Below are 16766 nucleotides of genomic sequence, written 5' to 3'. Positions count from 1 at the left end.
CTTTAAACCAACAATAGAAAAGACAAATGAGCATTATATAATAATTAAATGTTCAATACAAGAAGATATAACTATCTTAAATATATATGCACCTAACACCAGAACACCCAGATTCATAAAACAAATACTACTACACCTAAGAAAACATTGATAGTAATACAGTAATAGTGGGGGACTTCGACACCCCACTGATATCACTGGACAGATCATCAAGGCAGAAAATCAACAAAGAAACTCTGGACTTAAACTGAACTGTAGACCAAATGGACCTAACAAACATTTACAGAACATTCTAGCCGACCACAGAATATACATTCTTGTCACTCTGCATGGAGCATTCTCCATTATCGACCATATGCTTGGCCATTAAAGAAGTCCCAATAAATTCCAAAAAATCAAAATCATATCAAGTATCTTCTCGGACCACAGTGGAGTAAAATTAGAAATCAAGACCAAGAGGAACTCTCATAAACACACACTACATGGAAACTAAACACCTTGCTCCTGAGTGACCTTTGGGTAAACAGTGAAATTAAGAAATCAAAAAAATTTTCAAAACAAATGAAAATAGGCAACATATCAAAACCTCAGGGATACAGCAAAAGTAGAACTAAGAGGAAAGTTTATAACTTTAAATGTCTACACCAAAAAGATAGAAAGATCTTAAATTTACAACCTGATGTCACACCTCAAGGAACTAGAAAAATAAGACCAATTGGAACCCAAAGCTAGCACAAAAAAAGAAATAACAAGGATTAAAGCAGAAGTAAATGAAATTGAGACAAAAAAAGATATAAAGGATCAGTGAAACAAAAAGTTGGTTATTTGAAAGGTTACACAAAAATGACAGACTGCTGGCTAAATTAACCAACAAGAAAGAGAAAATTCAAATAAGTACAACCGGAAATGATAAAGGTGATATTACAATTGATAACATAGAGATACAAAAGATCATCACAGACTACTGTGAACACCTCTATGCGTATAAACTAGAAAATCTAGAGGAGATGGATAAATTCCTGGAAATATAAAACCCTGCATGATTGAGCCAGCAAGAAATAGAAGTCCTGAACAGACCAATAATGAGTAATGAAATTGAATCAGTAGTAAAAATCTTCCAAGAACAACAAAAGCCCAGGACCAGACAGATTCACAGTTGAATTTTATCAAACATACAAAGAACTGGTATTCAATCTTACCGAAACTTCTAAAAAACCAATGAGGAGGGATTATTTCCTAACTCGTTCTATGAAACCAGTATCTCCCTGATACCAAAATCAGAGAAGGACACAATGGAAAACAAAAACTATAGGCTAATATCTCTGATGAACGTAGATGCAGAAATCCTCCACAAAATACTAGCAAACCGAATCCAATAGCACATGAAGAAGATAGTTTATCATGATCAAGTGTGTTTTATCCCAGGGATGCAATGATGGTTCAACATCCACAAATCAATAAGTGTGTTTTACCACATACACAGAACTAAAAACAAAAACCATACAGTCATCTTAATAGATGCAGAAAAGGCATTCAGTAAAATCCAACATCCTTCGTGATAAAAACCCTTAACAAAATAGGCTGATGAAAGAAATCGTAGATGACACAAATGGAAAAACATCCCATGCTCATAGACTGGAAAAATCAGTATCATTAAAATGCCCATACTATTCAAGGCAATCTACAGAGTCAGTGCAGTCTCTATCAAATTACCAATTTCATTTTTCACACAATTAGGAAAAAAATCCTAAAGTTCATATGGAACCAAAAAAAGAGCCCAAATAGCCAAAGCCATCCTAAGCAAACAGAACATATCCAGAGTCATCATATTGCCTGACTTCAAATTATACTACAAGGCTGTGGCAACTAAAACAGCATGGTCCTGGTATAAAAATAGACATACAGATCAATGGAGCAGAATAGAGAACCCAGAAATAAGCCATATACCTACAACCAACTGATCTTCAACAAAGCCAACAAAAATAAACAATGGGGAAAGGACATCCTATTCAATAAATTGTGCTGGGAAAATTGGCTAGCCACATGCAGAAGAATGAAACTAGACAAATGCAAATGCAACATAAAAATAGACAAATGGGATTTAATTAAACTAAACAGCGTCTGCAAAGCAAAAGAAATAATAAGAGTAAACAGACAACCTACAGAATGGGAGAAAATATTCACAAATTGTGCCTCTGACAAAGGACTAGTATCCAGAACTTACAAGGAACTGAAAGAACTCGACAAGAAAAAAACAGCTCCATTAAAAAATGGGCAAAGGACATGAACAGATATTTCTAAAAAGAAAAGCAAGTGGCAAAAAGCACATGAAAAAATGCTCAAAAATCACTAATCAGAGAAATGCTAATTAAAACTACAATGAGATATTGTCTTACACCCATCAGAATGGCTATTAATAAAAAGTCAAAAAAAAAGTTGTTGGCATGGATGTGGAGAAAAGGAAACATACAATATTGATGGGAATGTAAATTAGTTCAATATCTATGGTAAACAATATGGAGATTTATCAAACAACTAAAAATATAAATACCATTCAATCCTGCAATCCCACTACTGGGTATCTACACAAAGGAAAAGAAATCATTATGTTATAAAGACATCTAAACAGAAAAAGACACCTGCATTTCTATGTTCATCATAGCACTACTCACAATAGCAAAGTCATGGAGCCAATCCAAGTGTCCATCAACAGTTAACTGAATAAATAAAATGTGGTATAAATACACCATGGAATACTATGCAGCCATAAAAAAGAATGAAATAATTTTCTTTGCAGCAACATGGGTGGAGCCTAGAGGCCATTATCCTAAATGAACTAACTCAGAACAGAAAATTAAATACCACATATTCTCACTAATAAGTGGGATCTAACAATGGATACAAATGGACATAAAGATGGAAATAATAAACACTGGAGACTCCAAAAGGGAGGTGGGTGGTAAGGTGGCAAGAGTTGAAAAACTACCTATCAGATACAATGTTCACTATTTGGGTAATGAATATGCTAGAAGCCCAATCCTCACCAGTACACAATATACCGATGTAGCAAACATGCACATGCACATGCACATGCACATGAATCTAGAATTTTTTAAAAATGTTAATTAAAACAGTAAGCAGGTGGGCAAATTCCTCAGATCTCTGAAGAACTCAAATGGACAGCCACTGAAACTTTTTGTACCAAAAAAAATGGGATAAAAAAATTTTCCTTTTTCACATATTTCAGATGATTGTGATAAGAAGAAAATTATAACTTATGGCTAAGGACCAGTTTGCTGGGCTGGAGCCCAGTGGTTTAGTAATTTGGTAGTTAGGTTTCTTTGGTATTAACCAAATCAATTTGCATACCATACAATTCACCCACCTAAAGTTATGTTCAGCGGCTTTTAGTGTAGTCATAGAATTGTACATTCATCACCACAGTCAATTTTAGAATATTTTCATTACCTCAGAAAGAAACACTGAACCCCCTTAGCTATCATCTCCCAATTCTGCTGTCTCCCCAAACTCTAGGCAAGCACAAACCTTTAAGTCTCTATAGATTTGCTTGTTCTGGGCACTTTATATAAATGAAATCATATAATATATGGTTTTTGTAATGGTTTCTTTCAATTAGTTTAATGTTTTCAAGGTTCACTCATGTTGTAGCATGTATCAATACTTCATTTCTTTTTGTTGCCAAGCAATATTTTGTTGTATAGATATACCACATTTTGTTTACCCATTCATCAGTTGATTGGCATTGGTGATGTTGCCACGTTTTTACTGTTATGAATAATGCTGTTATAAGCAGTCATATGCAAGTCTTTTTGAGGACATATGTTTTTATTTCTCTTGGATATGTACCTAGGAGTAGAATTGCAGGATCGTATGGTAACTCTATGTTTAATCATTTGAAGAACTGCCAAACTGTTTTCCATCTTACCAGTTTTCATTCCCACCAGCAGTGTGTAAGAGTCCAGTCTCCAATCCTCACCAACACTTGTAATTATCTTTTTTTATTATAGTCGTCCTAATGTGTGTGATGTGGTATCTTGTGGTAATTTTGATTTGCATTTCCCTGATGGCTAATTATGTTGAGCATTTTCTCATATCCTTATTGGCAATTCGTATATCTTCTTTGGAAGACTGTATTCATATCCTTTGCCCACTTTTAATTTGGCAATTTGCCTTTATTATTGAGTTTTAATATTTCTTTATAATAGATACAAGTCACTTGTCAGATATATGATTTGCAATAAAAGCTTTCCCATTCTGTGTGTTGTCTTTTCACTTTCTTAATGGTGTCTTTTGAAGCATGGAAATGTTAAATCTTGACAGTGTCTAGATTTTTTCTTCTGTTGCTTGTACTTTTGGTGTCATATCTATTAATAAGAAGCCACTGCCTCATCCAAGATGACAAAATTATGCCTGTGTTTCCTTCTAAGATTTTTATAATTTTTAGCTGGTACTTTTAGGTCTTTAAGTTAATTTTTATATATGGTCTGAGGTAAGGGTCCAACTTTATTCTTTTGTATGTGGATATCCCATTATCTCAGCACCATTTATTTGTTGACAAATGATTAACTTTATTGTCAGGCAGATGTTTACTATGTAGCTCAAAGTGATAAGTGTCAACACTATGTTCAAAAGGTGTAGTTTGCAGTGCACAGGTATACTCTTGCTGTCTATGTCTAGTTCCATAGCAAATGCTTACATTTTTCTTAATGATACCATTCCAGCAGAGCCCCTTAAAGGTTTGTTTGTTTTCATATGTGTGCATTTGGGGATGGTGGTATTTATGTGGTGAATTAGTGGGTTTTTTAATTCACATAAAACCCTCATTTATAGAGTGTATAGTTTGTGCCAGGCATTATACCGGGATTTGGGAATGCAAAAATATGCTTGCTACAGAGGAGAGTTCAGTAAAAAATTGTTGAAGGAAGGGAGAAAATTTGGGAAGAAGATATAGCCCCTGCTCTCTAGAAGGGGTCAGAAACATAAGTATAATGTGAAATGCTACTACTGAGGCATCATATATGAAGGAACACACAGAGTTGAATATGTAATTAATCCATGTATTTAAAATGACTTGAAGGTAGAAAGCACCTTGCAGATTAGTTGGTAGTGTTGCTGCAGTTTTGTGTTATTATTTAAATGTAAAAGATAAAAAACAAATTACTGGCATTTGGTTCTCATATTCAGTTATGACCTTTATTCATTTATGGTTAGGCTTAATAGGTTTTTTGACCTACAATACTGAATATAACTGCAGAGGAGACAGCAGAGGGTCAAAGATCCATTGGAAGTAATGGCAAAAACAGCAATTACTTGTACACCAACCTAATAATTTCTCTCTAGTATTCATGTTATACTTTCCTAATAAAAGGCCATTTGTAAATAGACAACAGTTTTTGACATTTAATCACTCTTTATTCCATGTTAGAACTTCTTCCATTCTCCTCCTCATTTTTTCCCATTTGGGGGACAGAGAGATAGATAGGTACTACTTCATATTTGTTTGTTTCTTAGCTCACATAAAATTCTTATTTAGTTTTTGGGGCTACTTAACACTAGGTAAGTGATACGATATCAAACTCATTCCCAAAAGATTAATGCAATTAATTAATTGAGTATTTTTGCCTAAATGTATAGTTTATCGTTTCTTTAAAACATTACCTTTTAAAAATATTCTATTTCAGAGTGGTATCCACTATTTATGAAGTCATCTAGTTATAAACATCAAGTACAACAGAAAATATATACTATATACTGTTTGAAGTTTACCTTGTTTTCTGTGAAGCAAATAATTATAGTTATCCCTGTCACAGAACAACTGTGAAATTTGTTTGTGCTAAGATAAGCATAACGTAAGCCTGTCCTGATAAGTTTGTACTATTATACACCTGTAAAAGAATCAATAGTTTCATTCTATTTTGATGTATTTCACATAGTTGTAAACAAGAAAATCTAAGTTTTCATTGCCTGAGAACAGATTCTTTAAGAGATCAGTGAATTTGTTTTGAAGTTATTAGTGGCCCTTTGTTTGGTTACACTTTTAAGCAAAAGAAAGAGATAAGTGTATTTTGAATGAATTAATATCTAAATCTATTAAGCCCCTGGTTATATTGGCTGCTTGTAAGACCTTTTGTTACTTATTTAGAATGAATCCTGTGAATCCTAAATGTATGGTTCATGTAATGTTTATTTTCTTGCATATCCACGGTGAATCTTTGGTGGACACTTAATGTGGGACTATCAGAAATAAAGGGACCTAAGTGACTATGTAGTCCAAACTGTCTCATTTTGTGAGTAAGGAAATGGAGGCCCAGAGAAGTGGCTGAATTGCCTTGGGTTGCACATCTCATTAATGATAGAGTAAGTCTGAGTACGAACAATGGAACCTGAAATAAAAACAAACTACCTGCTGGTAGTTTGATTGCATTCTCTTCAATATAAATCAAGCTGGATGAAGTGGCTACACTCAGCATTTGACCCATTATACATCTGACAATTTTAAAACTCAGAAAATACATTCTATTCACTATTATACAAATGATCTTCTACAGTAGATTTCCATGAAAAACACCCATTTCAAAAGCACCTTTTCAGAACAAAATTTGTCACCCTTCTTTGATTATCCATTCTCATGTTTAACAGCTATCATTCTTGGGAGGATTTTCTTACATCAGAAAGTTTCTTAACTTGCGGTTCATAAATCCCTAAGGAATCCATTTCATGGGGGTTCTGAACCCCTGAAGTTGCATGCAAAATTTAGTTCACAACTTTTATAGATTTCTCAACAAACCACTACCCAAGGTCAACCTGGATTTTCATTCCATGTTTCTCCTCATTTCTTTTTGCCTCATCTTCCTTGGAAGATGCTAACTTTCCTCCACATTATAGTTCTGCATTAATTTTGAGATTATTACTGTTTCTAAATGAAGAATCTCAGATCATTTTATCCTGTTTCATAGGCTCTTTTTCTTCACATTTTAAGTCATTTTACACTGTCTTTTGAATCTTTTCCAAATTCTTCGTAAACCTGAAAGCCAAGGAGCTCAGAATTAGAAACTATGTACTAATGAAGATCTAGTTTAGAATCTTGGATCTGCTGACAGTGATTTCAGAAGGTTAGAGAAAGCAGATGTAAAGCTGCTGAATGGCAGATCCTCAAGGTCAAAGCAGACAGAGGGTGTGAGGGACAAAGGTAAAGCTTACAAGAGTGGGTACATTTCACACTTCAAAGTAGTAAATTGGTCCTGTAAAGAGAATCAGGATAGAGAGTAGGAATTAATTCCAGGCCTGAAGGTGAAACAGAACCCTGCAAAAAATCTGGAACATAGCTTGATGGATATGAACAAACTGCCACTTTTCTTAGTAAAATCAATCCAATCTTTCAGTATTGAGACTCTTCACATGAGGAAGTGCTGCTGTACCTTGCAATACAAATGCTTATCTCCCAGTTTTCCTTTCTCCTTGTAACCTCTGCAGTCACACTAGCCTAAGGATATTAGATTCCTGAGGATTATGTTCCTAAGAGGTGTGAGTAATGGAAACAGTGAGATGGGGCTTGCACGCTATAATATATAAACTAGGTTATTGAAATCACCAGTGTTGGAAAGGATTCGACTTTTCTGGGAATCCGATGATAACTCCGGGCTGTTTCTCTAGAAGGAAGACATCACATATACATCATGCAAAAAATTTTTATATAAGTAACCTGGCCTGAAATTGATTTGTGGTTAATAACTCCCAATTGAGATGTTTGATGTTATCTATTTTTAACCCATGTGTTTCCTGTCATTTATTAATGTTTTACATAATTATTCCAGCTGTTGTCTCAGCTGTGCTAAGGAGATTTGTGCCTATAGCTTCCACATGTGAGCCAAAAGATTAACAAGTGGAATAGCAACACCGAGGCCAGAGCAGTGGTGACAATAATTTGGGAGAGATCCCTAGGAGCATGGAGAATTTGTGGGATAAGAATTGTGCCAAAGAAGTCTAGCATCCTCTTCTCACTGGATGATTCTTTCTTTATTCCTATGCTAAGATCATTGTTTTACTTTAAAAACTACAAGCAATTCCTTTATGAATCACATAATAGGATACCGACACTGAGCTGCCTAGTTTTATATGGTTCCCATTGGAGCAACATCCAGTTCCCAAGCATGACTGGCCTAGAGGTAGTGGGTAACACCTTTGGCGAGGATACAGGGTGAGAGGGATATGGGATGAAAGGGTATAGAGATATAGGGTGAGAAGAACGGCTTTGATAATACAGCCTGAACTTCGCTCATGGCTGTTTGTGACTATATATGGTTAATTTTACTCATCTGCTTCTAGTGGCTGTATCTAGATGTGTTAAATATATAAGACTAAATTTAGAGAGTAATTATCTGAATAATTCAAGTCGAATAAACTTCATTTACTGCAACTTTAGGTCACTGGAACAGATTACCACCGTCTTATATTTATATACCACCTAGAAAAAAAGATTTTTTTATTGTTTGAAGTTACAGTTTTAAAAAAGTCTATTTGGAAGAAGGGATTCCCAAGTGTGTTAATATTTATGCAAAAATCTAGTCTCTGTGCTTTTGCTTTAACTGTTTTTTCCTCTCCTTTACTTGTCTTTTCTTGAAGCCAAATTTGCCTGTGAAATAAAGATAGTAGTATCTACCCGGATGACATTTTGGATTATAATAAATAAGGTAATCCATGTCCAGCCTTTAGCATAGAGCCAGACACATGATAACCAGTAATAATGGTTATGATGGTGTTTCTCCCAAATATTCTGGTAAACATTTAACCTCTTTATTCTCTGACCACAAAAAATACTTATTGCTTTTACCACTTTTTGACACTTACTGTCCTGTTTTTTTTTTAACTATCCTATTTTAGATGTTACAGTTTTATCTCCATAATGAAACTGTAGGCTCCTTGACAGACAAAGATAGGCAATGCAAAACTTGTTAAATTGGATTTAAAAAAAAATCAACATTGTCTTGCCTTACAAGCCATGTGGTCTTCATTTTGGTTTGTTTCATCAACAGAAAATGAAAACACTAGCAGAAAGGAGGAGGAGCGCTCCATCTCTTATCCTGGATAAAGCCCTACAAAAACGGCCTACTACCAGGTAAGTGCAAAGCTTTGTATTACACATTCAGTATGTGCTTGGAAGTTTATATTAGATGAAGAGTTTTTCAGATCACATATTCTTTAATGTGTAGAGGTTGTTTGTTATCAGCACCAGAATTCTGTTTAAGAGTAGAAAATACAACTTTTGTTCTGAGGTTAATAGTGCCTAGCTGGTATATATGCTCAGTTGCTTTAAAACTGATTCAAAAGTGAATTTCACCCTCAAAAGTATATAAACTTGCAAGTTCCACATTTTAACAAAGTTTACTTATAAAATAGAAATCAAAATACTGAAAAATGAATGTTTTGTTTTGCACAAAACTTTGCATATTTTTAAATCAACACAAAGTGATGGCTGTGCATGGATAAGGCAGTTTTTCTTACCAACTTTAGATGTGAAGGAAGATAACCATATTATGATTATTTTTTAAAATGGAATATTGATTGATTTTAGGCATTATTAGTTAAATTAGTGAAATTCAAAGTGGAAAAATCAGCTAAATACCTGTTAACAGAGTCATTTCACCAATGGAGGCTAATTGCTATTTCAATGGACATTGAAATAGACATTTTTTTTTTTTTTGCAGAGCAGGAGCGAAAGCTTATTAAAAAGATTTAGAACAGGAAGGAAAGGAAGGAAAGTACAACTTGAAAGAGGGCCAAGCAGGCGACTTGAGAAGACAAGTACGCAGCTTGACCTCTTGATGTGGGGGATTTTGTATGTTGGCATACTTCTGGGATCTCACTGGGAAGCTGCTGATCAGATTCAGGTGTTTTCTGTCTATTATGAGACCGCCTTTCCCCGGTGCCAGCTGTGACCAATTAATACTTTAGCGAAATGGTTAACAACCACCGACCATCAACTGATGGTCACCCAATACTCCTGGTGTGTGTTGCGGGGAGCCTTTTCCTGCCCTGCTCACACCTGACTAGCTACCTACTGTAACATTTCAATAGACATTTTAAGAGTCTTTCATAATGTGTTGAAATTGAATAGTCATTATTATTTTATTCATTAATTTATTCGTTAATTTTTTTGAAATTCAAATATTCATTAATTTATTCACTAATTTTTTCAAATTCAAATATTCATTAATTCATTAATTTTTAAATGGCATTTTAACTCGTAAGAGTTTTTATGTTCAAAGGAATGTTACAATGATTTTTCTTTAAGTTGTGAATCCTTTTAGGTAAAGTGAAGGCTTCACCAACTTTATTTAAAGCAAGGATATATCTATGACATATCTTCAAATTGTGCTAATTTAACATAAAATCTATATGATTGGGAGTCCAAGGCGGGCGGGTCACGAGGTTAGGAGATCGAGACCATCCTGGCTAACATGTTGAAACCCCATCTCTACTTAAAAAAATCCAAAATATTAACCGGGCGTGGTGGCGAGGGCCTGTAGTCCCAGCTACTCTAGAGGCTGAGGCAGGAGAATGGCGTGAACCGGGGAGGCGGAGCTTGCAGTGAGCCGAGATCGTGCCACTGCACTCCAGCCTGGGCCACAGAGCGAGACTCCATCTCCAAAAAAAAAAAAAAAACTATATGAAAGTATGGAAGTTTTTCAGTATTAAAAATAAGTTATATATCCAAATCCCAACAAGTGACATGTACAAAAACACTCACGTCACTTTCTTCCGAGCACATAGCAAGTTCTCAGACTCAGTAGTTTTTCTCACCTACCCCCAGAAGACATACACTTTAGTCATTGGGTTGATCAAGAAATGTAAACTCCTTTTAATAGATGCCTAATCAAAATTTAATTAGGAAGCCGTTCTGCCAAATAAAAATACGGTAATATATTTCAGTGTCATACGTAAATGACTTTTGCATTGTTTGCATCAGTGTATCCTTTAGTGTGAATAAAAGAGAATGGTTGTATCTTCACAGTTTAACACTGGTTATCTAGAAACCTCAAGGGACAGTATTTTTTTTTAGGGGAGGTGGATAGAGGAAACAGAATTAATCAGTATAGATGTCTTTAATTCTCTACTATAGATGTAAAAATAAATTTATTGTTTATTTTTTAACTAAGTTTTTAACAAATACACAGTTTTGGGTAAAATTTTTTACTGGAAGCTTGTGAGTATGAAGTGTACTAAGGTTTTTCACTTAAAAGTAGTCCTTATAGAAGCTTTAGCCTTAGATCAGGAACCAGCAGTCATCTTCCCCCAATCTACTCCAGGGTGAGAATCTGCAATAAGTATACATGCAGGTACTGAAAGTTCATGCAGACCAGTGGTTCACATTGGGGGCGGGGGGAGGAGGGGGTGTTACTAACCTCTAGGGAACACTTTGGAATTTTGGGGAACATTTATGTTTGGTCAGTGATTTAGTGGCAGCAGCCAGGGATACTAGGCATCATGGAAAGCACAGAATATCCTGCGTAGAGAAGAATGGTGGGTTCCTGCATAGCTTTTGAAAGTCCCCTATATAACATATGCACGAAGGGGGAAAATATCTTTATATAATTATCTATGCCTGTAACCTATTTTATATATAAGCACAAAGTATTTTTATACATTTCAATGAATACTAAATTTTTCAGAAATGTAGCTACCTTGTACGTCAAGAGATAATTGTACTTTGTATTGTTTGGAACCATTTCTAAAAATTACTGGGCTTCATTTTTCTGTGCTTGTTACATGAAATTTCTTATCTGACTTCTCTTAAATTTGAATATATTAATTGTAACTAGTTGTAAGCATCTGACTACTTAATTGTCTTTAGTATAATCATGTCTGAGCATGTACTTATTGAAATACATACTTTATTAAGAACTATTTTCATTTTTTTCTTTATGTTACCGTTAGAGTGTTTTATTATTTTCAACTTTTTAAAAATACCTGTGAATTTCATTTCAGGATATAAAAAGAGGAATTTAAACATATATATAGACTTTTATATAACAAAGGGTCATTGGGTTTAATAGAATCAAGAACTACTGATACAGATGAAGTGCCATGCTAGGGAAAATGCTAACACTTACCTGACTCACTGAAAAATGCCACTTCTCATTGTTTTAAGTTGAGAACCAATATAATAATATACAACAATGCCCTTCCCCACACTGCCTCCCTATCACTTCTTCAAGAATTGGTGCTTACATTAGAGCCAGTTCTCCCAGATTCTTAGTAGTAGCAAAATATGATGAGTTTTGTTTCAAAATAACTGTAAGGAAAAAAGTTTGTTTGGCTGGACATAGTGGCACATCCTTGTAATCCAAACCCTTTGGTATGCCAGGGTGGGAGGAGCACTTGAGCCTGAGCAACATAGCAAGACCCTGTCTCTATAAAAAAAAAATTAGCCGGGCATGATGATGTGTGTCCCAGCTATTTGGAAGGCTGAGGTGGGAGGATCACTTAAGCCCAGGAGTTGGAAGCTGCAGTGAGCTATGATTGTGCCACTGCACTCAGACCCTGTCTTAAAATATATGTGTGTGTGTGTGTGTGTCTATATATATGTGTGTGTGTGTGTGTGTGTCTATATATATATATATATATATGTTTTAATCTTCAGTTAATTTCCTGCAAGTTTCTCTAGATCAGTAATTAGGGTGCATAATGCTAGGGAACAGGACCTTCACCTCTCTCATAATCTTATAAAGATGAGATTATGCTTTTACTTTGTGTAGCTCTTGGTGCTTGTACTCTGAAGGTATGCAAAATATTTGTAAGCAATACAATTTCAGGATTGGAAAGAACCTGAAAGGGTCCTCTAGTTTAGTGATTCCTAAGCCTTTCTAATTCGGTATTCTGGAGTGGGATACAGATATCAGCATATTTTTCAAATCCATAGTTAATTCTGTGCACTCTTTTTTAAAATTGTAGGAACACTTAACATGAGAGCTATCATCTTTATAGATTTTTAAGTATAGAATATAATACTGTTATCTATAGGATTCTAATGAATGCTTGGTGGAGGACCACTGTTGCATGATATAAAAGAATGCTTTTATGTTGATTTGCTTATAAAAAAGGAATACAAGATAAGAGTTTTAAGGAAGTATTTACAATTGACAAAAGTAATACATATTTGTTATAAAAGAAAACAATATGGACATGTATAAAACAAAAAGTAAATTCTCTACTCCATCCCCAGGGGTAACTACTATTAATCATTTGTATTTCCTTTTAAATTCTTGCCTGTTCAGAAGTGATTCAGATTTTTGTTTTCCCTCATGTTTAAATTCTCATTTAAATATAGATGTATTAGTTCTTTTCAAGTCTCTTGCAGTTTTTTTTAAAACTTGGAGATCAAATCTTATTATAATAAACATTCAAGAAAGTCTTTGAATTTTGTCCACTTTTTTATAATGTATGTTCCTGAAAAGTTACATAAATCAGATTTTTTGAATTATTAATGAGCTTGCTGTTTTAAATAAATCCTATAGTTAAAACTTAAATAAATTTTATAGTATAAAACTAAATAGTAATATTCAGTGATGTACTTCTAACTTTTTCCAAAGTTGTTACAAATAATGCAAATTTTTGCAAATAGAATTTTGCTTTTCTATCCATTATACTCCAGAAATATGAGAAATTTCTGAAGTCCAAGATGATAACACAGCTAGTTCAAGTGGTACTTTATACAGCAAAATTCTCGTAGCCTTCCCCCAAAATCGTTTCTATCTCTTGAAATGTAACATGAGAACTAGACTGCAAAAGATTTGTGGGCAGTGTTTGGGCAGACAGCAAAGAAATAGTGTTTTATTTATTGACATTTTATATTTTTTGAATTACATCTATATTTGATTTTGGCATTGCTGTAGAACCTTACTACTTTTACTATTGTCCCATAGTTGTTACTTAGTAATTAATGACTTGTAGATGACAAAGCTTGTATCTAAATCTGCAGGAGATTTCAAAGAATCCTTTTTAAAAATAATTTAATGAACAAGAGCTGGATTTAAAGAGGAAGAAATATTTAAATTAACTGATGAGTTAACTGTATTTATGTGTTAAAGGTAGTTTTATCTCCAGTGTTCTTTGGTGAATGCTTAGAGTACATAAGGAGAGGCAGTTCATAGATTTTAACATTTTTTTTAATGTGGCACCATTCAGAGCTGCTGGAGGTGGTTTCTCTAAGTAATTATTATATTAGGAAATGTGACAGACATCTTTCATGCTGAGAAGGTTACAGGTTTTCTAAGGTGAGTGGTTACATAGCTGCAGTCAACTACTTTTTCTCTTTGACACAGTAGTGTTCACTTCTGTGTTTAAAGATGATCTAACATTGTGTGGTAATCATCCTTGTGTTAAGACTCTGAGCACATATGTTAAAGGGTTTAGTTTTCTTAAAAATAAAATGAAAGTGTTGAAATATGTTATTTGTTAAACTTCTAATTTTATGGTCATATAATTATTTGTTGAATACAACAAATCAAAAAGATTTCCCAGAAGACTGTGTATTTTCCAATATGATCTTAATTTTATTGTTTCATATAATTTTTCGGTGATAAAAGCCTCAACTTCATTTTTTAAATTTTAGATTCAGGGGGGTACATGTGCGTATGTGTTACATTGCATGGTGCTAGGGTTTGAGCTTCTATTGAACCCATCACACAAACAGTGAATGTGGTACCCAGTAGTAGTTTTTCAAGACTTGCCCCCCACTTCCCTCTCTTCTTTTGGAGTCCCTAGTGTCTTTTGTTTTCATGTTTCTGTCCCATTGTTTCCTCCCACTTATATGTGAGAACATACAGTATTGGGTTTTCTTTTTCTGTGTTAATTTACTTAGAATAATGGCCTCCAGCTGCATACATGTTGCTACAAAGGACATGATTTTATCCTTCATCCTTTCTTATGTCTGCGTAGTATTCCATGGTATATATGTAGCACATTTTCTTTATCTAATCCACTGTTGATAGACACTTAGGTTGATTCCATGATTTTGCTATTGTAAATAGTGCTTCAGTAAACATAAGAGTGCAGTCTTTTTGATAAAACTAGTTTTTTTCCTTTGTTTAGATATCCAGTAATGGGATTGCTGGGTTGAATTGTATTTCTATTTTAAGTTCTTTGAAAATTTGCCATACTATTTTTCATAGGAGTTGAACAAATTTACATTTTTCAGAAAAATACTACTCAGATGCTAAGAAATTAAAGTATGTTAGTATGTACCAATAATATGTCTAGATAATCAATATGAACATTGTTTTAATATACCCAGCTGTTATTTTCCCTTTTTTAAGAAAGAATTTTGAATAGTTTCTGAATACTGTTACTTTAAAGGTTCACTAATTTAATAAAATCAATCTGTTAGCAAAAACAAGACTTCTGTATATATACTCTGAATTCTAATGTTTGCTGTTTTCTAAACACATCATACTCTCTAGCCTTCTCTCAAATGTCACTTCCTTCAAAAACTCCTCTAACTCTTCATAAATAACATCCATGTTCCTATAACACACTATATATCTTTTTATATATAAGTATTAGACATTTATTGTTCATAGTTCTGAAGGTTGGCAAGTCCAAGATTAAGGCACTGGCAGGTTTCATGCGTGGTGAAGGCTGCTTTCCACTTCTAACATGGCATCTCTTACTGTGTCCTCACATGACGGAAGGGGCAAACAGCTCCCTTGTACTTCTTTTATAAGGGAGCTAATTCTCTTCATAAGGGCTCTGCCCTCATGACTAAATCACCTCCAAAAGCCTCACCTCTTAATATTATCACACTGGTAATTAAGTTGCAGCATTTGAACTTGGGTGAGAATTGTATAGTTAAAAATCTATAAAGATGATCGCTCTCATTCAGACTATAACAACTGGTTACTCCAAGCCTCAGTTTCCTCATCTGTGAAATAGGAGTCATAATAGTACCTTTTTAAAAAAATTGGCACATAATAATTGTACATATTTATGGGGCATAGTGTGATAACCACCCTATATATCTTTTAATCATAGCACTCAATCACACTTCATTGGAATCTCCTTATATGCATGTTTCCTCTAATGTCCTAGCACACATTTATTAATAAAATAATACCTTGTACATACTTGCTGTTCAGTTATTATTTGTTGGATGAATTAGTGAATAAATTAATGTCTCCATTTGCAAACCAAAAGAGGAATTTAATAAGTTAGCACAGTAGTTTCTGACTTTCCTGACTTCCCTTAATGTATAAGACACTTTGCTTTTTCATTGGCATTTGTGAAAGTCTTGATAGGGAAAATGGAGATTTTTTTTAACAAAATGTTTCTTTGTTATTGTTAGGAAGTAATTTCATGCAGCAAAATGCCACAAGTGCTCATGTATATGGTTTAGAAATCTCATATATATTGGCATTGTTATGGTATTTCTTCATTGTTTATTTAGGAATGAATTCAAGTCATACAAACTTTCCCTTCAAAAATGTATTATTTTGATATGGTGAACAGCCTACCTTGTGGAAATTGCACAAAAATGTATCCACTTTTGTTTTGGGTAACAACCTGTTACCACTTTTAAGTTGATATTCATTTGTCTATCTCCATCTCCACCTCCAAGTTAATTTATTGCGTTTGGGCTGTTTGCAAGACTTTGTGCTAGGTACTTTTAAATCTCTGCTGAGAGGAGGGACAGACAACACCAGGGAAGAATTGTGGTATAAGAGAAAGTACTTGGTCTTTGGTTGCATTTA

At 34.1% G+C, this 16766-nt stretch overlaps 1 protein-coding gene across 6 annotated transcripts in view; it reads left to right on the top strand.

Moving 5' to 3' along the window:
* The window catches only part of ARHGAP20 (Rho GTPase activating protein 20), a 136147-nt gene that overhangs the window by 13507 nt on the left and 105874 nt on the right, over window positions 1-16766 (top strand). For 5 of the 6 annotated variants that reach the window (NM_001258418.2, NM_001258417.2, NM_020809.4 and 2 more), the window contains one exon: window positions 9054-9136. In NM_001258418.2, the coding sequence (NP_001245347.1) occupies window positions 9057-9136 (80 nt within the window). In that variant the 5' untranslated portion in view covers window positions 9054-9056. Of the gene's footprint in view, window positions 1-8643; window positions 8712-9053; window positions 9137-16766 lie in introns of all 6 variants that reach the window. The other variant, NM_001258416.2, reaches the window with a different exon arrangement.

Source organism: Homo sapiens, chromosome 11, assembly GCF_000001405.40.
Source record: "Homo sapiens chromosome 11, GRCh38.p14 Primary Assembly".
Taxonomy (NCBI): Eukaryota; Metazoa; Chordata; class Mammalia; order Primates; family Hominidae; genus Homo; species Homo sapiens.
The sequence above is the reverse complement of the archived record's forward strand: the minus strand, read 5'-3'. Positions and strand labels throughout refer to the sequence as shown.